Raw genomic sequence first — 24,374 nt, 5'->3', positions numbered from 1 at the left:
AATACTATTATGTTATGATTGCTTACAGTATTCAGTACAGTAACATGCTGTATAGGTTTGTAGCCTCAGAGCAATAAGCTATACCATATAACTAAGGTGTGTATAGGCTACACCGTCTAAATTTGTGTAAGTACACTCTATGATGTTTGCTCAATGAAAAAACTGCCTAATAATGCATTTCTCCAAACATATCCCTGTCATTAAGTGATGGTTGACTATATATCATCCTTTCTGGCCTACAAGGTTTCTGCTGAGAAATCCACTGAGTGTGATGGAGGTTTCTTTGTGCGTGAAAAGTAATTTTCATCTTGCTCCTTTCAAAATTGTCTGTTTATCTTGAACTTTTGACAATTTGATTGTAAGGTGTCTTGGTGTAGATTTCTTTGGGTTTATGTTTTTGAAATTTGTTGGTTTTCTGAATATGTATGTACATTTCTTTCCTTAGATTTGGTAAGTTTGGGGCATTATTTCTTTGAATAATCTTTCTGCCCCTTTCTATTTTCCCTCTTGGACTACTATCAGATGTATATTGGTCTGCCTGTGTTATGGTGTTTCATAAGTCCTTTAAGCTTTTTCACTTGCTAAAATTCTTTTTATTCTTTTTGCTCCTATGATTGTATAATTTCCAATTATCTGTCTTTAAGTTTGCTGATTCTGTCTTTCGCTTGACATAGTCTGCTGTTGAAGCCATCTGTTGAATTTTCCAGCTTAGTTACTGAATTATCCAGCTTGAAAATTTATATTTGATTTAAAAAAATATTTTCTATCTCTTTGTTGAAAATTTCAATTTGTTCATGTATTGTTCTCCTGTCTTCATTGAGCATCTTTATGATAATTTTAAATTCTCTGTCAAATAAATTATACATCTTCATTTCATTAGTGTTTTTTTTTTTCTTTCTTTAGGATATATTTACCTGTTCCTTCATTTTTCTTAACTTGCTGTGTTGGTGTCTGTGCATTAGAGAAAACAGCAGGGACAGGTAGAAATAATTGATTCATAGTGGCAATTTCCCCCATACTGTTCTCATAGTAGTGAATAAGTCTCACGAGTCCTGATGATTTTATAAATGGGAGTTCCCCTGCACAAGCTCTCTTGCCTGCTGCCATGTAAGACATGACTTTGCTCCTCAATCACTGTCTGCCATGATTGTGAGGCCTCCCCAGCCATGTGGAACTGCAAGTCAATTAAACTTCTTTCCTTTATAAGTTATCCAGTGCTGGGTATATATTTATTAGCAGCATGAGAACAGACTAATACAGCATCTTCATAGCTTATCTCCCACTTATAAGTGAGAACATACACTATTTGGTTTCCCATTCCTGCATTACTTCTCTTAAAATAATGGCCTCTATCTCCATCACAGTTGCTACAAAAGACATTATTTTGTTCCTTTTTATGGCCAAGTAGTATTTCATGGTGTATATAAACCACATTTTCTTTATGCATTCATTGGTTGATGGGCTCTGTTTTCTAATTTTTTATGTACTACAAATAGATGTGGTTTTTTATGTCTCTCTAACACCCTTTGACAAAAAGAGGGGTCTAAGGAAATCCTTGAACAGAATAATCCCCAGTCTCTCATTCTAAGCCATTTTGTTGTCTTAGGCAGTTTTCTGCTTCCAGCACCAAAATTTTCATTTTGGTCTATGCCCATCAATGCAGACCTTCCCATCACACGTCTTCCATAGTAACTCAGTGACAAGTTGCAGCCTGCCTGGTCTTAGCGTGCCACAGGTCTAATCACTCATTGTGTAAAAGCCAGTTTCCCACAGTGTAGAGGCTACAGTATATGGTCTTTATTTTTAATTTTTTTAAATTCAAATACTCATTTTTGCATTATTTGCATAATTTTTAGCTTTTACATTTATCTCTAATTTTTCCTCTGGAGGATCACTGAGGAAGTAGTTATTTTTGTTCACCCACTCAAATCCATAATTTTCTCTGAATTAGTTGTAATTTCTTTTCTGAGACTTGGTCTGGGGACATTCCCAGATAATTATTTTTTGGTGTATTTTCTGCTTTCTTTAAAATTTATTATTATTATTTTTAATTAACACAATAATTATACATATTTACAGGATACAGTGGGCTGTTTTGACACATGTATACAATGTGCAGTGACTAAATCAGGGTAATTAGCATGTATCTATCACCTCAAACATTTATCATTTTTATGTGTTGAAAATATTCAAAATCTTCTCTTTTAGTTATTTCAAAACATGCAGTAAATTATTGTTAATTATAGTTACCCTACAGTGTTAGAGAACATTAGAACTTTATTTCTCCTATCTAACTATAATTTTGTATCCTTCAGCCAATCTCTGGCTATCTCCCCACCTCCTCAGCATCCGTGAAAAGTGAAATTTATTAATCCCTGATTCTTTTTTTCTCACTACTGTTGTATGTTCCCTTTCTCTCCCATTCAGGAGGTTAAGCCTGCATTTATAGATCTTATAAATATTTTAGTAAAATTATTGTAAATATTGTAAATTATTTTACAATATTAAATGTAAATGTATTGTTTACAAATAATAAATGTAAGAGCCGAAAACTATGCAAATAAGGCAAAAATGAGTATTTGACTTTAAAAAAATTAAAAATAGAGACCATATACTGTAGTCTCTACATGGGGCAAACTGGCTTATACACAATGAGAGATTAGGCCTGTGGCACACTAAGACCATGCAGGATGCAACTTGTCACTGAGTTATGATAATTTTAAGAAAATATTATTTGTAAATTATTTTGGTAAAGTTATTGGCATAATTAAAATACAAATACATTAGTGATTTGGTGGAAGATCACTTTGCTTAAATATCACAATAATAATATAATGTCAAAAAATTATTTAGTATTTTTCTGTATAGGATATAGAATTTTTTCGGGCAAATGGGCTTAAAAACAGTTATACATTTTACTATTTGAGAAATATTATCTAGAGATGGAGAGAAAACAGACTTCAACATGTCTATGTGTGGACAAATGTTGAGAAATCAATGAGAAACCAGAAATACAGAGCAAAAATGCTTAATTATTTCTTTGGTTTACTCTTCTTCTCCTAGTAGCCTATTAGAAAACAGAAACAAAGCAAACAAAAAATCTCAAGAACACAATTCCAGAGGTGTTGAAAATCAGTTGATTTGATTTTGAAAATTCTAATTAAGGATTGAGCTTCTTGAAATTTTTGTGGCATTGAGTAATGTTATTTATGTTACCACTGTCCTTTCACATTATCAGGCTAAAATAACTGCATTACCTTAAAACATCAGGTAAAATTAATAGGTAGACTATGCTAAATATAATTGAGCTTGATCTCTCAGTATCTAAGGTAGATGGGTCTACTCTTATATGATGGTCACAATAGCATTAATTATTTAAATCAATATTTTTCCCCTTTCCACCCTCTTTCTCATTCTCCTTCCCTCTTCACTTTTTTGTTTCCTTCCTTCCTTCAGCCCTCCTTTCCTTCCTTTATTTGGTGATTTATTTTATTATACTTTATTCCTTTGGCGTATAGCATCATCATCAACAAGTACACTTTTAATAAAAAGATAGCATCCATCATCTATTTATCTCCTACTATGTGCCAAGGACTGTTCTGAGTGCTTTATGTATATAAATTCATTTAATCCTATGGCGTACCTACATTATTCCCTTTTTCAAATGAAGACACTGAAGCACAGAGAGGTAAAGTAATTTGTTCAAGATCACACAGTAAACAAAGTAGCCTGACATGAATTCAGAGACACCATCTCTCTAGAAAGTGTGTTGTTAATCACCAACCTAAACTGCTTAGAATCACATGGGAAGATCAAAATGTGGAACATGTGAGAAAAATGCTAAAAATAATAAGAATAACAATTATTTCCTGAAGGCAAAATGCAAATGAGAACAGTGGGTTCTTGAAAAATAAATAAATACGGTGCAGGAACAGATCTTATGTACTGACTGTATCATTTTCTAACTTGGGTGATGCATTCATTCATCTTACTAATATTTATGAGCACCTACTATGCAGCAGGCTGTCATCCAGGTGTCAAGGATGCAAAAATGAACAGTGGTCAAATATGAAGTCAGAAAGGTAACAGAGAAAGAGAGGTAATGAGTAATGTATAATAGAGCCTTGCCAAGGAGTATAAGGCCTTCAGGTTTTTTCTCTGAGTGAGTTTTAATGACATTACTCTGGTTGTTGTATGCAGACTTGATAGTCAAGTGGGCAAAGGCAGAAGGAAAGAGACTAGTTAAAGGTGTCGTCATAGAAGCTATTTCCAGTCTGAGATGCTACTGGGCTCAGACCAGGGTAGTGGAGATCGTGAGGTTATTCTGCATGTATTTTGAATGCAGCCGGCAGGGTTTGTTGATGCATTGGATGTAGTGTAAGAGAGAAATAAGTCAAGATAATTCCAATATTTTTGGCTGAAATAATAGAAGAATGGATATGATTTACTGAGATAAGGAAAGACCAAGTTTGAATGGGAAAATCAAATATTCTATTTTGATAGTGTTAAGTTGAAATGCCAGTTAGATATCCAGGTGAAGATGTTAGTTGGACAGTTGGGAGTGAGGGATGATGTAAACTAGGATGTAAACTAAATTTAGAAATTGTTATCATAGAGATGTGTTTAGGACAGGAGTCTTGATGAGCTTACCCAGGAAGGAGAAGAGATGAAAGAGTATCCAGCCCTGCTGTATTTGCAAAATTTTAGAGGTTCAGGGAGGCGAGGAGGAGCCTGCAAAGGAGAATGAGCCATGGATTCATCATGGACACAAGAATTCTATAGCATGCATTCTTGGAAAACGAGAAAGATAAGTTTTCTTCCTGTCCCTTCATTTTCATTTGCCTCCAGCCATGAATATTTTTAAACATATGCAAAGATACCCATGCTTCAATATTGATTCTTTTTTTTTTCCTCCAAAGGGATTAGATGAAAAAGGGCAGCTCTGGGTGAAGGCCCATTCCTATAAGCTCAGAAATGGTTGGCAGGGCCCTCCTAGTTAAAAGACATGCTAGGCCAGGCGCATTGGCTCACGCCTGTAATCCCAGCACTTTGGGAGGCTGAGGCAGGCGGATCACGAAGTCAGGAGATCAAGACCATCCTGGCTAAAACGGTGAAACCCCGTCTGTACTAAAAATACAAAAAATTAGCCAGGCGTGGTGGTGGGCACCTGTAGTCCCAGCTACTCAGGAGGCTGAGGTAGGAGAATGGCGTGAACCCGGGAGGCGGAGCTTGCAGTGAGCCGAGATTGTGCCACTGCACTCCAGCCTGGGCGACAGAGTGAGACTCCGCCTCAAAAAAAAAAAAAAAAAATGACATGCTAATCTGTCCATATCATGCTACTGAACTCCTACATAAGCAAATTCTAGTAGCTCAGAAAAAGTTAACATGTACCTCTGTGAGATGTAACGTCCCCTTTCACTTTTCTGTAGGAAATGTCATTGGATGCAAGACAAATGAGAATCCTCAATTTAAATAAATTTTCAAAGTTTGTATTTCTTCAAGGACACTGTGAATTTACATTTCCCTGACCAGAGATAGCTGGCAAGATAAAAAAGAAAATTAACTTTAAATATCTAAAACTTTCTTCTTCACATTTTGGCCTAAGAAATTTGTAAAAGGAGGAAATCCCTACTGGGAAGATGCCTGGAAGCCAAGGAGTAAAATAACAAAGCCCTAGGCTCTACTTCCTATATGTGTGGGAGGATGAATTTATAGTTGTTTTTCTTCCTCAGTCTCCTTGTTAAGACCTGAGACGTCTATTTCAAAGTTTAGCCTTTCCCTTTACATTTGTACATAGAGATTTAACTATGCATCTAACTACGGAGCTGGAGATACTATAAGGCTATAACCATTGTAATAGGTATTACAAAAAAGCACTGTAATAACAGTTGTAGTATTGATTGCCCTTTGAGTTGACTTCAGAATACAGTAGCTGATATTAATGTCATCTACAAAATTATTGAATACATTTGGATGAACACTGTTAGAATAAATAAGCAAAGGTTTTATGAAAGATACACCTAACGGATCTACTCTGAAGAGTTTTAGTCACAAAGGCATCACAATTGTCTTGAGTACTAGAATCACATAGAGACTAAGGAACTATCCTATGTTTAATCAAAACATCCGTCAAATTGAGGAAAATTCCATATGGAAACTAAGTCATTTAGGTGTCTGCCATATTCCTCCACTTTGGCTTAGCCCAAGGGAATCTAGTACGTCTCATGTAACTTCCCATATGACCCAAAGAGGATGACTACTTCTTGTCTAATTGCTGTGTGATCTAAGAAAGATGTCCTTACTTCCGATTCCTTTTGCAAACCCTTAGAGTTAGGTTTTTACATCCACTGACGTGCAGTAACCCTAAAGGTTTCTTTTTTTTTTTTTAACTTAAATGTCATGTCTTTATTTATATTTATACTTTATTTATACTTTATCTCCATTAAAGTGACATTTATTTTAAAATATATTTTAAAATTATTTAATTGGTGTTTAGCATCTTCGGAATATAGAGTCCTGTGAAGAAATTGGTATATATTACCTGTGGTGCCCATCCACTTATGAGATTGTGTTGCAGCCTGGTCCACTAGTGGATGTACTTTTCCAGTGAAATTCTCTGGGACAGGGGCATATTTTGTTTTTGGCAATTTGAGTTGGAAAAGGGTAATGTGGGAGGAAAAAAATCGATTGTGTCCCACCACCTCTAGGACCAGAGGGATATTTCTGGTTGCTACATTGCTACATTTTCAAGACTATGTCATTCACTTTACAGCAGAGAAATACGACACTTAGGACCAATCCCTATTTTGTCATAGGATTAACTTTTCCTTCTTCTTGATAAATATCTCTGGAATGGATGGGTATATTCCCCCTCCCGTGCCCTATATTATCAGGTCTCATGATGGGCAGAAAACGCTGGGTTCCATAGTTCAATATTTAGATAACATGAACTTGATGAATACTGGATTATAAGGCACTGAAATTTTAGGTGCCGTTCAAAAAAAAGAATGCTGATAAGCTTTCTCATTTTCACAAGGGAGAGACCAGCCCATCTGGGTTTGTGTATGTATGTGTGTATGTGTGTGTGTGTGTGTATATTTATGTGCATGTGTGGCAGTATGTGTGATTTATTTTTCTTTCAGGTTTTAAAGCTCCATAAAGAAATCGCTGGACATTTTCTGCCTGGTGGCATGGAAATGTTTTAAAATCTAAATAATGCTGGGAATATTTAAGAGCATGCTTACTTGGCAAAGGAGAGAGCTCTGTGAGCGATCAAAACAGGACCTGGCAAATATTTCCTTGGCATAGATTTGTGCTGCTTGGATGAACGAAGGCTGATCAAATCACTGCATTCAGCAGCTGCTGGTTAATTTGCTTTTTGGTATCACACTCTGCATGGTGTTTATCAAAAGTCTGGGTGCATTTAAAGGGGCACAGCAACTAGAGAAATAAAGTTTAGGATACATAGCCAAATGACTTTGATATTTAAAGGCCGGTATGCTTTGCAAATCTGGAAAAATCTTTCCAGTTCATACAAGATCTGTCATTAAGTCTTCTGCCTCTTGAGTTAATCTCCTTGCCCTCCCTCCCCTTCGCCCAGACTCACATTGTATGTGTCCGCCCTGGTTTTCTCTTTGCCCCCACTAAGAGCCCAGTCTATACTCTCTTATATAATATGGTGACAAAATGGTCCACAGTTTAAAGTATTTTTATGTATACCATTTAATTTCATCCATAGGAATCATCTTCAGCTCTCTCTTGCTTTGTGTTTCAAGTGTAAACACTTCAGCCTACTGATATCTGAGATTTCTAACTTTCATTCGCAGCCATTCTTTGCTGTTCCCCTTCAGGACCCTTCCATTCCAGTGAAATCTGCCTCCCACTGCCTGCATTAGACCTGCATATTCTTGACTCTGTGCCTTTGCTCTTGACATTCTCCATAACTCAATTGCTTGTTCACCTCCTCTAAAATCTACATTTTCCATACATTTCTCTTTGATTAGGTCAGCATTCTTCATACTTATATGAGATTGCTGTTAGAATTGCCAAGATTTTAAGATTCTGGGATTAACTCATTTACTGAGGAGTTTACTATCCCAGGAATTCTGCTATGAACTTCTACATATCCTTTGTATCTGCACCTCTCAACAGACCTTCAATGTAGATGTTATCATGTCTATCTTACAGATGAGGAAACAAAGGTTCAGACAGCCTAATCAGCTTGCCCAGACTCATACAGCTAGTGAAAGGCATAGCTAAAAATTAAACACGAATTTTCTTTCTCCGAATCCAGTGTTCTTTCTACTGTTTCCAGTGTACTAAAACTATTATCTGGTTATGATGGTTGTTTTTACCGGTTAATTGTTTATTCTTGTTTTTTATTTATTCTATTCTAGCAATTTAAATAGTAAGATAAGGTATCCTTTATTTCTTCGATGTTTTCTAGTGCCTATTATAGAGCTCTGCAAATGGAAACACTCAACGAATGGAAGTTGACATCAATTGATTTGTCAAAATACAGAGGTCTTTGCCTTTGATACATTTTGCAGTTATTTCTGGAAGAAATTTCAGTCCTTCTGATGAGTCTCATTGGTTGACATGTATCAAGCAAATATCTGGCATGTAGTTCAAGCAGTCAGCATAGGTGGTTATCAAGTCACCAATCAAACCAGGTTAGCCAGTTCCTCAGTGAGATTCTGCCATCCCCTGAAACTCTGCACTGTGACCTGGAATCACAGGAATTTGCAGTATTTAGATCATCCTAAGTCCTTTGAGATTCCTCTCTCTTGTGGCCTGGGGCAATTATATGTACCCTTTTCATAATATTAATTAAGATATTTAGTAGTCATTGCTATTAATAAAATGATTATTCAATGTCATTGGGATGCCAGGTGCCATACCAAACCTAGCGTGACATGCTCTTCTGACATGAACACACCATGGTCCTCCTGGCTCCACAGGCATCTGGATCCTGCAAGCTGTTGGTTATACCATGAACGTGGAAAGTTTGACCCTGGGCTGGAGCTGGCTTGTTAGTTGTTTTCTGTTTTCTGTGGGTGTGGGCATTATGTCCCTTGTAAGTTAACATACGAAACAGCTAGTTAGTATTTCTGTTCTGTTTCTCTTGATTGTTATTTACTGAAATTTTACATGTCGGTGATGGGGAAATGGCTACATATTACTATTCTCAGGTGAAAAATTAGGCAATCAATTAGGCCTTTACCTAAAAGCATAAGGCAAGGAAGTCAGTTCAGGAATGAAATCCAGAGCATGAAGTTTTCAGTATTTTCCTCCTCCTTCAGAGCAGCAGAACGAATTCATGGGCCAAATGAGAGACACAATTGCCCACGGAGGCAGGTGTGACTTGTGGATGCATCAGGCTGAGAGTCGGTGACAGACACCTGGTGAGCAGCTGGCTCAACAAATGCCAGAGTGTATGTGGCAGTCAAGAACGTGGACTCAGTGGCAGACTGCCTGGGTTTGAGTCCCAGTTTTTCCACTTTCTATCTGTGTGATCTTGGAAGGTGACTTAGCCTCCATGTATCGTGCTTTGTGCATCCGTAAATTGGAGATTGGAGTGGTTCTTACCTCACAAGGCTATTATGAACATTAAATGAATAATATACAAGAAGCAAACAGACCAGCATCTAGCACTCAGGAAATACTATGTAAATGTTTAAGTTAAACAACCAAAACCAAACCCCAAAACCAACCAAACAAAAAACCTCTCTTCTCTAGTGTGGCTCTGATAACTTTCATGGAATGAAAGCCTTCTCTCTTATTATACTTGTGTTTTACCCTTTAAATGACACTAAAGTTTCTGAAAGGTAGGTTGAAGTCAAATCTTAATTAAAGTAGGAAACATTCTGACCATAATCCCCATTGTCCAATGTCTAGAGCTATTTTGGAGTCACAAAAGTCTGACTTTTATCCCAGTGCAGAGAGAAAGAAAAATGAGAGATTCAAACATATTCTACAGAGAAACTGGCAGCAAGATAAGAATATGATTCTATTTACAAGTGAATATTTAAAGAGAGTTGATTTATTGAACTTTTTCTCATTTTCCAGCTACCACCACACAATCAAAGCGGAAAGGCCACTTCTCTAGGTGCCCCAAGCAATACAAGCATTACTGCATCAAAGGGAGATGCCGCTTCGTGGTGGCCGAGCAGACGCCCTCCTGTGTGTAAGTGGAGTGTCCTCAGCCAGCAAGCAAAAGGGTGCAGAATGGTGCCCGCCTGGGTCTTGCCAGGACTGGAAAGTGTGAGCTAACCATGCCATCTGTCCGAACACAGTTCTGCCTGGTCCTGCCCCCAGCCACTTGTTTAGGGGCCCACTCAGCAACTACTTATGGAGAAACTGACGCACACTTTCCTCCTGAAACATGAGTATGTGAGAGTCCAGCTCCACTTCTGGGCTGGGCAGTGTCCTCTGATTTCTTGCGCAAGCAGAACTGATTCTTTTTGGCTCAAATAATCTCCTGGGTGGTTCAAATGGAAATGAATTATTCTGGCAAGTGTTTGGTGGTTTATAGTTAGTGTAAATACGAGGAAATTCCTGCCAAATTAAGAGCTACTTTTGTAGGAGTCACTTAAGTAGAAGGAATTAGTCCTATTTATAAATAAGAGATTAGCGAAGCCTGTTTAGTATAGTGGGGAATTGGGAGAAAAGTTTTCTTTTCAACTCTTTGTATTTGAGCCTAGCTCAATTTTACTCAGGCATACACAAATTTCTTTTTGCATCTTTTAAATATGTGTTTTCTTCTAAAAAGATATCCCACTAATGTGCTTCCTGGGACCTTTCCTTAGAGAAGTGGGAGGAGATTCTTCAAGTGCAATTTTGACTTAAAGTTCATAGAATGTTTATGTTCTTCTGCACAGTTGCCCCAGTATATAAGTTTTCTTTCCATAAGTATCTCAGAAAAATGATTCCAAATCCTAATTTTGTGGAAACTTTAAGGGTCATGAACTTTTTAAAAACTTAAATATATTTAATTTAAAAAGGAAATATGCGTGGATAATACATGGAGGCAGATAACAATTGCTAATGTAAGAAAATAAGGAAATGTGTGTGTGTGAGTGTGTGTGTGTGTGTGTGTGTGTGTGTTGAGAGGGATAGATCTAATTTTTTAAAAAAATTCATTTAATTGCTCCCTGGCTTGGAAGCACATATTGAATTTTAAAAATATTAATGATCTTTAACCCAATACATTTCCCTAATTGGTTCCTATGTCTGCAGATTTATTGTTCTTAGATATTGCTGCCCTCTAAAATGAAAACCACAGTGTGTAATCTACCTGCCTAAGATCAACACATAGATTGTTCCCTTCAATGTAAAATTTAAACTCGTTTTCTTAGCCTTCATAGATCATCTGATCCTGGCTTAATTTTCTAGCTGTATCTCACCATATTCCTAAGTGCTTTTCTAAAATTCTACATTTCATTTCATGATTTATTATATAAGCTCTTCTTGTAGCCCAGAAAGCTTATTCTTGCTATGGTTTAAGATGCACTGCACTCATCATCTCCTTGTGGACCCCTTCACTGACTTCCTCCTTCTCAGGCATACACTCAGGTCTGAGTTAGATGTCCTTCCCCTGTGATCTAGCCACACCTCTATGAAAGCTCTTATCCACTGGAGCATAACTGGTGGTTTCTTTAAATGTGCCTTCTGTGACAGTGAGCTCCTAGAGGGCAGGGCTCATGGCTTATTCATTTTTGTATTTCAGTGTCAAACACAGTCCTCAGAATTTACTAGGTGCACAAGAAATGACTGATGCTTGAACAAATAGTGCCCCTATTACAGTCCATCTAATGCTATACCAAATTTCCAGACCAAGGCCTTAATCTGAATGGAACATCTTCTTAGTAGAGGAATAATACACAGTCAATGGGAAGCAGAATATCATAGCAGACAGGGCACAGATTTTGGAGTCAGATAGACCTAAAGTAAGATTTTGCTTTTGCCAGTTATAAGCAGTGTTAACAATGGGTCAGTTACCTTTTCTGAGCCTCAGTTTTATCATCTGCAAGAGAGAGTAATAATACTGTCCAGTCAAGTGGTGAAGATAGCAAAATAATAAATGCGAAAACACTAATTGTGGTACCCAGCAAAGAGCAAGTGTTTCATAATTTTTAAAGTTCCAACTTTTTAAGAACATATTTAAGTATGCCATAAATAAAAAGTTCCCACTTTTTAAGAACAATATTTTTTTTTTCTTTTTTTGGAGAGAAGGTCTTGTTATATTGCCCAGGCTAGACTCAAACTCCTAGGCTAATGTGCCTCTCCTGCCTCATCCTCCCAAGAAGCTATGAGATGAGTGGTAGATAATCAACCTAGGACTGATGTTTCAGGTGATATAGCACAGATTCAGGCAAAACTCTCTTGCCATTGGTGATAACACTGTCTTGAGGAACCAGAAGTATCTCCTTTTCTTGGGATCATGGGAGTTTGTGGGTTCTTGTTTTTACATAAAAAACCAAAGTGTGTTTCAAATAATGCAGATCTTCTCCTCTTAGTAATCTTCTCAGTATTTCCTTTGAAAAGGGACAGTTCGTTTCCAGATACATAATTTTTATTTATACATGCAGCATAGCACATTTACTATGCAGTTAAGAGCATGAACTTGAGAGCCAGACTGCCTGTTTGAATCCCCATTCCCTTAACTTCTCTGTGCATCAGTTTCTTCATCTATAAAATGGGGTTAATGATAACACATACCTCAAAGGTGGTAATAAGGATCCAGTTAATATTCATAGATCTTTTACAACAGTTTCTGGTGGTTATTTCAGAATAGTGATCCCAACGCCCAATTTTGCATTGCCCTTAAGGATCATGAACATCTTTAAAAATTATTTTTGATTTTAAATAGTATAAGATGCTTATTAAATAAAAACCCACTTAGTCACCATTTAATAAAAAAACTTAGAATCTGCTCTCTTTGCCTCTTCTTCTCCTACATGAGAGATACACTCACTGAAAATAAACACCAGCTGATATGTTATTGGTTTGCTGAAGGGCAAAATAACATGAGAACCACTATAACCAGCTATGTTAAGGTTTGACCTTTTAGCATGGATTCACTGGGGTACAACTTACAGGAAGTACTGCTTACTGAGAAATTCAATTAAAGCATTGTTAAGCCACCAATCCCACAGCATATAATTAGAAAAACATTCTAAAAGAGTAGAAAATAATTGCCATGCATTTTATGGACAAAGCTATTGTTTAAAAATACCACATTTAGTAAATTTGTTAGAGGAATATTTAAGCTAGTTGGAAAAAAATATATTTGTAAGATTTATTTCCAACCTTATAAAAACTCTGAAAAATCTCCCTCGTATACATGCAATTAAAAGTGATTCCCGGCCAGTCACGGTGGCTCACGCCTGTAATCCCAGCACTTTGGGAAGCCGACGTGGGAGGATCACGAGGTCAAGAGATTGAGACCATCCTGGCTAACATGGTGGAAACCCTGTCTCTACTAAAAATATAAGAATTAGCTGGGCATGGTGGCGCGCGTGGTTTAGTCCCAGTTACTTCGGAAGCTGAGGCAGGAGAATCGCTTGAACCCGGGAGACGGAGGTTGCAGTGAACCGAAATTGCGCCACTGCACTCCAGCCTGGCTACAGAGCGAGACACCGTCTCAAAAAAAAAAAAAAAAAAGTGATTCCCCCATCCCTAGTTTTGGTCTTATGTATGACAGATTTTTGATATCTCAAGATATTTCTAAGCTCTCTTCCTGTAATTTTGACCTCAGAATGAAGATACTTAGCTATCTTGCAGGAAGCAATTTTCTTTCATTCATCCTTGGGTCCTTTTATAATAGATGCCTTTAGTTGTCTTTTCTCCTTTGCTTGCATTAAGCCTCACCTTTCAAGTGATGGCTGTTACTGAGCTTGTTTTTTTGTTTATTTGTTTTGAAGCACTGTCTCAGCTACAATATTGGCATTAAGGGATCTCTTCACTTGAGAAATACAGGCTTTGTGAGGATTAACTGCCTTGGCTTTTGTCAAGCATAAGCTATAGAACAGCCCAGCCGTAAATCCTTTCTTAAAGGAAAATGGGGTTGCACAGAAGTTTTCTAAGGAGCAGAATTTAATCTTTTTGACCTTTGAATAATTATGTATATGACCAGTATCACTTTGTGTTTTAACTTCATTTGAAGCATTCTCTTAAGGAAAATATTTATTAATATTTTTGATTACTATTTCCCTAATATTAATAAAGGAAAATGTTTATTAATACTAAGGTACTAAGGTTACAACAGATAATTTTGGTTAAAATGTCCCCAAACTTTTTATGTACCTTAATTCTCTGATGCAGTTCAGATAATTCTATGGGGAGTACTCAAATCACTGAGTTGTTAGCTCCCTGGATGTTACTCAGACAAGCCCCAGCTTGGTCAAGTGGATGCATAACTGTAATCTCAGATTAAGGACATCTGTTTATGTTAGATGTATCCTAAGGCAGATTGACAGAAAGCTGAGAGAATGAGGGAAATGAAGAGAGACTGTTGATTTCTGGTCATTCCCTTGAAGAAGGCCATGGAAAAAAGGGAGGGCATTTAGAGGAGAGTGAAGGGAACGGTGAACAGATCTGCAAATGTGGTTTTAGGAATCAGATAAAGGAGCTAAAGAGGACAAGACTTATGTGTTTGCAGGGATGTAATGAAGGAGGCGGCGAACAGAAGAGTAATAGAAGGGCATGACCTAATCTGTGATGCCCTCAAGCAGTAGAACTAGAATCAACGGGTAGAATTTACAGTGGAGGAAAGACGAAAGAAATTCTGTAGAAATAACACTTATGGAACATTCTCTCTATCTAACGTTTATGGAACATTGTGTTATGAACTTTCACATGCATTAGCACATTTGATCATATAAAACCATACAATTTTTATATAATTTATAGGAGAGCATGAGAACATCAAAACTATTTGCATTATCCTGTGATGAAATGGGAAGTCCTGGGGATTTTTGAGTTCCTTGTCATGGAGTTATTTAAGCACTGGGAATTTTATCCTCCTTTCCTTTTTGAATTCAGAGACTAAAATTTTAAAATACATTTTAGTTAATTGTCATCATCCTTGTGTATTTATATTAGACATATCAATAATGTCTAATGATCAAGTGATGACAGGTATTCAGCAAAGCAAAAAAAAATTGAAATTACTGGTCAACAAAGTAGTGCATCTTTTTTTAAAAAGGGAACTGTGTTCTTTATTAATTTCAAGTAATGAGAACTGTTAATTTCTTCAGAAAAGAAGTAGAGATTCTTAAAAGTCTTGCAAGTTTTACTTCCTTGCCCTCGTCTTGTTTTATAGCTGTGATGAAGGCTACATTGGAGCAAGGTGTGAGAGAGTTGACTTGTTTTACCTAAGAGGAGACAGAGGACAGATTCTGGTGATTTGTTTGATAGCAGTTATGGTAGTTTTTATTATTTTGGTCATCGGTGTCTGCACATGCTGTCAGTAAGTATTTTTAAACTTAATTTTAAGTAAATCTGAGAAACAGTATTTGCTCATAGTTTTTCTTCTTTTCTTCCTCTTTACATTCTCTTTTGCTTTTTCTTTGATTCAAATAAATTTACTTTTTGAGCTTTGCCATTGTTGATATAGAAGTATTCATAATAAAACACATAATACATGATTTTTATCATTTACTGAATAAAATTGTTGTAATTTAAAATAAAATTTGTATAGTAGGCTACATAAGACTTCTATTTTCTAAAACTGTACCATAACACAGTAACATTGAAAGATAAAAACAAAAATTTGTTTTTGCTTTGCCACATTAAAATAATAAACTTTATGTGTAAACCATGTTACTTTGTTTTTCCTTTTACTTTCTATTATATACCAGAACTTTGAAAATCAGGAAACATCCTGCTTTTTCTCTGAGACAGAGTGGCTTTGCACAATTTTTATTTGTATTTATTTATTTATTTTGAGACAGAGTCTCGCTCTTTTGCCCAGGCTGGAGGGCAGTGGTGTAAACATAGCTCACTGCAGCCTCAAATTCCTGGCCTTAAGCGATCCTCATACCTCAGCCTCCTGAGTAGCGGGGAATACAAGTGTGTGCCACCAAGCCAGGCTTTTTTTTTTTTTTTTTTGTGGAGACTGGCTCTCACTATGTTGTCCAGGCTGGTCTTGAACTCCTAGCCTCAAGTGATCCTCCCGCCTCAGCCTCTTGAGTAGCGGGATTACAGGAGTGAGCCACTGTACCTGGTCCTGGGACAATTCTTAATTAAATTAGTTAAATTAGTTTCTTTTTGGGAACTTTTTTTTTTTTTTTTTTTGCAGAGCAGGACTAACACCAAGTATGCTACCAAAAACAACAACAACAACAACAACAACAAAAAAAACTATCTTATTAAAGTGGTATCTTTTTGTCTTGAGAAGCTTGCCCAGATTCCTAAACTCTTGCATCTACCCTTCACTGTGGTCCACACATAAAGAGGGTTCTCGTGATTCCTTTCTTTGCAATGTGCTAGGGAAAAAAGCACTACGGTAGAGGGAGTCTTTGATTATTTATTTATTTATTTATTTATTTATTTATTTTGAGACAGAGTCTTGCTCTGTTGCCCAGGCTGGAGTGCAATGGCGTGATCTTGGCTCACTGCAACGGCGTGATCTTGGCTCACTGCAACCTCTGCCTCCTGGGTTCAAGCAATTCTCCTACCTCAGCTTCCTGAGTTCAAGCAATTCTCCTACCTCAGCTTCCTGAGTAGCTGGGATTACAAGGGCCCGCCACCACACCCAACTAATTTTTGTAGTTGTAGTAGAGATGGGGTTTCACCATGTACACCAGGCTGGTAACTCCTGACCTCAAGTTGATCCACCTACCTCGGCATCCCAAAGTGCTGGGATTACAGGCATGAGCCACCGCGCCCGGCCAGAGTACTTGATTTTTGTCTCGGTTCCTCCATTATGTATCTTTGAGAACCTGGGTAAATTTCTTAACAACTATGAACTTTTATTTTCTGTAAAACAAGAGTGTTAAACCAAATAATCTGTCAGATACTTTCTAACTATAAAATTGAAAGATATATTTTTATTTTACCTACTTTAAGGTAGGAAGAAATATTATGCCAGGTTTAGGGCAGAGAATCAGTTGGGCAAAGCTGGGAAACGGCCTATTTTGTTATATCAACTTGGAGCTGCACTTTAGGAAAACAGTAATGCAGTCTGGAAATCTAACACATTTCTTAATGTATCTAGAAGCTCAGTTAATATATCCAAACGCTGTGTCACTCTTGTTTTTCTTATGCCTGTTTCCAATTTGTACTGTTTCTTTTACACTACGTGTACACTACATAATACTTATTAGTCTATTTTGTAAAATAACTTGGCCTGAAAAATTTTCTTCTGCTAACTAAACTCCATCAATATAAGTGACATTTTTTCTATTTAGATAACTATATTCTACCCACACTGTTGCCTATTATACCTATCATCTGAACCTAGAGAAAGAGATGGGTTAAGAGAGAACCCTAATTTTTTTTTTTTGTGACGGAGTCTCACTCTGTCGCCCAGGCTGGAGTGCAGTGGCGCAATCTCGGCTCACTGCAAGCTCCGCCTCCCGGGTTCACGCCATTCTCCTGCCTCAGCCTCCCGAGTAGCTGGGACTACAGGCGCCCACCACCACGTCCGGCCAATTTTTTGTATTTTTAGTAGAGACGGGGTTTCAGCGTGGTCTCAATCTCCTGACCTTGTGATCCACCTGCCTCGGCCTCCCAAAGTGCTGGGATTACAGGCGTGAGCCACTGCGCCCGGCCTAGAACCCTAAATATTTTTTTAAAAAAAGAAACCTGATCATAGGATCTCTTGATGGATAATTTTGTGTTCGCATGAACTACTAGGCCCATACTAACTTCTAACACGTATTTTCCAAGCCCTCTTCGGAAACGTCGTAAAAGAAAGAAGAAAGAAGAAGAAATGGAAACTCTGGGTAAAGATATAACTCCTATCAATGAAGATATTGAAGAGACAAATATTGCTTAAAGTAAGTGAGATAAACTTGCTGATAGAAAACTATTCAGGTGACATTTAACTGGTTAGATTGGGCTTACTTGCATCTACTAAATCATTCATTAGAATTTGATTATATTTAAAAACATCTAAAAATAAATCAATGGTTTTTTTCATAGAATCTGAAGCCAGATAAAATACTTCCTCATATCTTTTTTCTGCATGTTACCACAGAGATAGGCATTCTAATTCTGCATGGTTGTGGGGATATTTATATAATTTTTTCTTTCTCATTTTTGGGCACAGGAAAGAGGTATTTTAATATAGACACTTCACATTGAAAGAAAATAACAATAGCAATAATAACTACATATATTGAGCATTTACCACAATGCCAAGCACTGTTACAAGCTCTTTAAATGTAGCATCAGTAAGGATTGTTCAGGAATCACAAATCTTCTCAGATGATCCAATAGAGAGATTGTAATGCAAGAACCATGGATCAAGGTTAAGAAAAGGTATACTGAGTCTCCCTGAGCTTGAGAATTGTTGGGAGCTGTTGCCCTTCCTCTACAGGAAGGGCCAAGGTAAATATTACCTTAGCATTCAGAGGCACATTGGAGGAGGGTCCCCTAGGCAGGAGCTGTGGTTGTGGAGGGAGTAGCCACTGTCAGATATAAACAAGGACAGAGGGAGGAAATAGGGGAAGAAGTATTCCAAACTTTCTCTCCTTTCGCCTTCGGATCTTCAGCAGGTGCCTCCTACTAGCTAAACCCACCAGAAACCAGAGGGCAATGGAGCCCTGGTGATGGAATCTGAAGTGGCCAGTCTCCTGGAGACAGAGCAGGGCAGAGAAAGGCTCCAAGAAGGCACATGACGCGTAACTAGCACAACAAAGCAGGATAGTTTTGGTTGTAATAACATAAAATCCAACTCAAACTGGCTTAAAATGAAGGCAACGTATTGGCTCACATGAATGGCAGTCCAGAGGTAAGGTGGGCTTCACACTTGTCAAACCAGAGGCTCACACGTAAGGAACCAGATTATTTCCCTCTTTCTGCTCACTATTCTGAGTTGGCTTTCATCCTTGGTCAGTTCCTCTTAGGTCCTAAGAAAGGCCAGTAGCAATTAGGGCTACAAGCTTCCTCGTTTACATCCAGTATGAGAGAGTAGTGTCTTTCCACAGCTCAGTTGTACAAAGAATCTCTTCCAGAAAATCCCAGCAGCTTAATGGGGTTGGTAAATGCTTGACGAGAAATTATATGTGCTCCTAACTTATTACAAAAACAACATTATTGAATTGAAAACAAAATGGCTGGCTCTGGATTTTTAAATTATTATTATTATTGCATAGTCCATTTCTTTTAAGTGATGTGCTGTTATTTTCTTCATTCTCAGAGGCTATGAAGTTACCTCCAGGTTGGTGGCAAGCTGCAAAGTGCCTTGCTCATTTGAAAATGGACAGAATGTGTCTCAGGAAAACAGCTAGTAGACATGAATTTTAAATAATGTATTTACTTTTTATTTGCAACTTTAGTTTGTGTTATTATTTTTTAATAAGAACATTAATTATATGTATATTGTCTAGTAATTGGGAAAAAAGCAACTGGTTAGGTAGCAACAACAGAAGGGAAATTTCAATAACCTTTCACTTAAGTATTGTCACCAGGATTACTAGTCAAACAAAAAAGAAAAGTAGAAAGGAGGTTAGGTCTTAGGAATTGAATTAATAATAAAGCTACCATTTATCAAGCATTTACCATGTGCTAATAAGTTTGAAATATATTATTTCCTTTATTCCTTTCAGCAATCCATGAGATAGCTATTATAATCCTCATTTCCTACATATGGAAACAGGGCCAAAGAAGTCAAGTCAAATAATCTAATCCAGATTTAGAGAGTTGGAGATTGGTAGAGACAGACTAGAAATCAAGATTTATCTAAATCAAAATCTATGCTCTTAACCATCATTTTTGTTAGTCTGAATCGGTGCAACCTAACTCAATAATATAACCCAAGGTTTTATACTGAACTGTGTTTTGGTATGATTGTGAGATGTCAAGACCGTCTTCCCACAGGCACACAGAATGAGAAATCCTGGCCTATATTGCTGTTACCATCATGCTTTCTATAGAATTGGCTTTTATTATGTTTCTTTGCTCCTTTATAAATTCTCAATGATGTGACTACATTTTTACATTATTAAAGCAAATAGATTGGCCCCATAACTAGGGAAATGAATAGAGATGGAAAAGTAAATGCTTGGCATTCCTTAAGCCCTGGGTAAGTGTTTATGCTCAATAAAATATAAATAATATTACTGAAAGAGGCTGTTTATATGGGAGTAATGGTCAGTGACAACACTGGAGAGACCAGGTAGGGACCGGTTGTGACCATATCCTCATTTATGTTCTTGATGACAGCATATATGATTGCTCTCAGGTAAATTTTGATGCAGTAAATTCATGACCATAACATCTATTACTTGGGACCATCTTGCCAAGTGCTCCTTTACTCCATGAAATATTTAATAAACACTGCTTTAAACCTGGAAAAGCACAATCTACATTTAGTGAATATTTCATAGAATATTTAACTTTTTACATTGATTACGTGGTTCACTTACAAAAATCGATGGAAGATGCCCCCCAACTTGTGCCTGTCGGCCAAGCAGCTTCTTTTTTAGAATCTTTGCAAATTTTACTTTGCAATGTAGATTCCATAGTGAAGTGGAGAATTCAGACAAATGCTGAAATCGCATATTACCTTCTAGCATCCATGGTGTTTTGAGTGAAGCTGGGGCTGTACTTACATATGATACATAAATAGCTCCCCTATTAGTAAAAGCTAAGCCAAACAACTGATAATTTTCAAAATCTATTTTTTCTCCTGATTTAATGGTCATACTTGAAACACAATTATATCCAACTGATCCATGTTGTATATGCCTTATTTTCAAAAGTCTCATTTAAGCTCATTCATGCCCTTTCTCTTATGTAGTCTTCTTCGATACGAAAGGAGCTTGGAATAAATATCCATTAGAGCTTTTAAAAACACAAAACAATGCTTTAATGTTTCTTTTTTCCTGGACTGAGTTTGGCTGACCAACAAAATCTCTCAAGCCATTTTGTTTTGATCCTAAAATATCAATGGTGGCTCTCGAAATTTGGTAGATCTGATATCAAGAAAGAATTTCAAAGATTTTTATATCTTTTCAAAATGTATTTTATAGTTGCTTTGCATACACTAAATAACTTTGTTTATGTAAACTGTCAATATTATCATGTAATAAAATAAATTTATTTTTAAAACAAAGTAAACGTGTGGTTACTTGGGAATTTTTTATTTTACCATGAATTACTAATGAAAATAAATTTGAACACTATTGCTTTTAAACACCTTATGCTTTGTAAACCCTATCCATTAGTGTACTTGAAAGAATCCATCCTGACCATGTGTTTTCTTTAGGAACTAAAGCATCTGGGAGTGTGTTGGACATCTATGGGACTGTCTTGCCAATATCCTGGCCATATTTTTGAACTCCACCTCCAGCTGCATTTGATTGGTCTGAGGTGGGCACTTAATAAACTTGGGCCAATTAGAGTCATTCCCAGAGAAATTGGAAACTTGAACTGAAGTCAGTCTTCTTTGGGTTCTTGGGGTGAAAAAATATGCATTTTGAAGCTATTGGCAGTTACCTTTTGCTTCATGTGGAAAAGTAAAACAAAGGAATCTGGTCAGCATATAGCAAGAGAAGATTTAAGCAAACGCTGAGTGAAAAACAGAGAAAAGGCACAAATTTCCCGACAGAACATGAGTCCTGATTACAGGCATTCTCAGAGTTTAGCACCATTCCTGTCTATGGGCACGATGAGACATGTTAGTGTCTTCATAATAAATTCTTCGTCTGTCTTAAGCTAGTTCTGTTTGGGTTTCTGTAACCTGGAACCAAGATCCTTACCAACTCAGGTGCATCCTGAGATTGTGGACAATGGTTTCTTAAAGAGGAAACGACATCTTCTGTAAAACAAAATATCAAATTATTATTTTCAAATAGTGTCTTTTATCATATTAAATGAACATTTCCAGCAACAGCATTCTGTTTGCACCACACAGACACTGATGGGAGCATGGAGAGGGAGCAGGGAGTTCAGCAAGCATTGATTGGGCACCATTGTATTTCTGGTCCTGTTCCACCCACTGTGACAAATGCTAAGAAGGAATGACTCTTAGAAGTTTAGAGTTTCTAAGTGGGGGAAACAGCTACTCACTGAACATTTCAATGCAATTTGTTGCTCTGAGAGAAGCTCAAGGTATTAAGGAACAGAGAGGAGTGTCACTTAGCCCTGCTTAGTAAGAATCAGGGAAAGCTCCTGTAGGAAATTACATCTGAACTGATGATTGGCTCTGAGAAATAAAGGCCTCTGTCCCAAATCTTTGGTAAGCTCAAATATTTCTTTTTTCTTTTTTTTGGAGACAGAGTCTTGCTGTCCCCCACGCTGCAGTGCAGTGGCACCATCATAGCCTCAACCTCCCAGGCTCAAGCAATCCTTCCACTCAGCCTCCTGAGAAGCTGGGACCACAGGCATGTACCACCATGCCTGGCTTTTTTTTTTTTCCTTGAGAGGGGTCTTCCTATGTTGCCCGGGCTGGTCTTAAACTCCTGGACTCATCAAATATTTCTTAAGTCTTTCTCAAATTCTACTGAGTTCCTCTGAAAGCACCAGAAGTGGAGGGACCAGGAGGTGGTGCTTCAAGGGAACAAGTGAAGAGAAAGAATCAAGCCTTCATCCCTTGTTCCAGGCTGTCCTGGGCATAGCAGGGTAGAGCATGTGGGCACGTGAGCTGTGAGAGTAGATGTTTCTGGTCCCAATGATGCTATCTGATTAAGTGATGTCCTGAGGTGGTGGGGAGAGATTTTTATAGTTTCCTACAGTTAGTTATTTAGGACTTTCCCATTTTCCACTTTATTTTATTGCCCATGGTAAAAGCAAGTCACATTGAGAGTGGAGTAAAATGTTCCAGGTCAAATAACCTTATTTAGATAAGACCCTGTTTGTGCAATATTTAGTAAATGAAGTCCAGAACATATTTCAAAACCCATGGCTTTAAGACTCAGCTATAGCTTTAATGAAATCTTCATTTGAGTATATTGTGAATGTACCTTGTTATGCCTAAACATATTGGGGCACTGCTTTCATTAATTAATTCATACAAAAATATTTATTAGGTTTCTGCTAAATGCCAAGTACCTTAGGTGCTAGGGGTATACCACTTGCATAAAATAATTTAAAAAACCCTATGACCTCATGAAGCTTATCTTCTAGTGGATTTAATCTTTCATAGCATGGAATTTAAAACAATACTTATCCAAGAAGTTATCTTATACTGAGGACATTGCGTCTAGACTTTAACTTAAACAAGTGTCTTAGAGCATAAAACTCAAGATGAACTCATGGAAGATCTCAGTATATCATAGGTTTGGCAGGTTTTCCTTGACTGAATAATTTTCATATTTTAATAATGATTATATAGAACAAACAAAGTATAACTATGTTTTTGCTGTCAAATATTTATTTTTGCTATGCTTAATATTGGTGCTACATTTGGACATCTGCTCTTCTTCAAAACATCTTCTATGCTTCAAAGCATTTTTCTACAAAGGACCCTGTTCCCATGTGATCATCTTTGTTAACTAAATGTTAATGCCAGAACATAATGTGCAAATAGTGTACTCTTGCCTGTTTGCTAATGTCGTTGGATCCTAGGAATGTGTATCTTATAATAATATCTAAGTGGAACTTCTGTAAGCTCCTAATTCTTCCCCAGGATGTGTCAGCTATTAGTGTTTGAAGCAGTCTGAAATTTTATATGAGGAAACTGTATAAACTATACAACTACAGAAACTATACTAGTGATTATTTTCAAGAGCTGAATGATGGTTTTTGGAAATTTAAAAATATGGCCTTCAATATGTTTAATCAAAAATTATAGTCAGTAATTGTACTCAAATAGAAGTGTTAACAAAACATGTTTTTAAAGAACTTTCCTTTTATATTTTATTTTTTTATTCAAGTTTAAATTACAAGAAAAAAATATGCAGCAGAGGTACTCAAGGCTTGTTTTCTTTATTTTGTTTCTAATCAATTTATTTTAAAAATGTCAAACAAAATTATTCACAAACATGGAACTCTAGTGTTGCTTTCTCTAGCAAGTATAATTATTCTTCCAAGATATATGCAGAATAATAAAATATTCTGAAACTCTGTGATCCAAGCTAAATAATGATTTACAGTATTTTGGGCTTTAGTAAGAAGTGACAGAAAAACTTGTATCTCTGACTTGTTCTCTAATACCATTTTTGAAATACTACAATATGTAAATTAATTAAAATAAACTTGTT

At 36.9% G+C, this 24,374-nt stretch overlaps 1 protein-coding gene across 4 annotated transcripts in view, besides 1 other annotated feature; it reads left to right on the top strand.

Moving 5' to 3' along the window:
- Positions 1–21,286, top strand: part of BTC (betacellulin) — a 49,765-nt gene extending 28,479 nt beyond the window's left edge. Inside the window, exons 3-6 of one of the 4 annotated variants that reach the window (NM_001729.4) lie at positions 10,069–10,186; positions 15,326–15,472; positions 17,896–18,005; positions 19,370–21,286. In NM_001729.4, the coding sequence (NP_001720.1) occupies positions 10,069–10,186; positions 15,326–15,472; positions 17,896–18,004 (374 nt within the window). In that variant the 3' untranslated portion in view covers position 18,005; positions 19,370–21,286. Of the gene's footprint in view, positions 1–10,068; positions 10,187–15,325; positions 15,473–17,895; positions 18,006–18,722 lie in introns of all 4 variants that reach the window. The other 3 variants (XM_011532211.2, NM_001316963.2, XM_047416103.1) reach the window with 3 other exon arrangements.
- Positions 11,541–11,600: a silencer, noted in NCBI's record as "silent region_15478". NCBI's record gives its function as "represses an Ori minimal core promoter by ATAC-STARR-seq in GM12878 lymphoblastoid cells {active_cell/tissue: GM12878}" and the evidence as "EXISTENCE:reporter gene assay evidence [ECO:0000049][PMID:35858748]".
- Positions 21,287–24,374: the final 3,088 nt, after the last annotated feature.

This window comes from Homo sapiens, chromosome 4, assembly GCF_000001405.40.
Source record: "Homo sapiens chromosome 4, GRCh38.p14 Primary Assembly".
Classification (NCBI taxonomy): Eukaryota; Metazoa; Chordata; class Mammalia; order Primates; family Hominidae; genus Homo; species Homo sapiens.
Note: the sequence above shows the minus strand (reverse complement) of the source record. Positions and strands in the feature narration are given on the sequence as shown.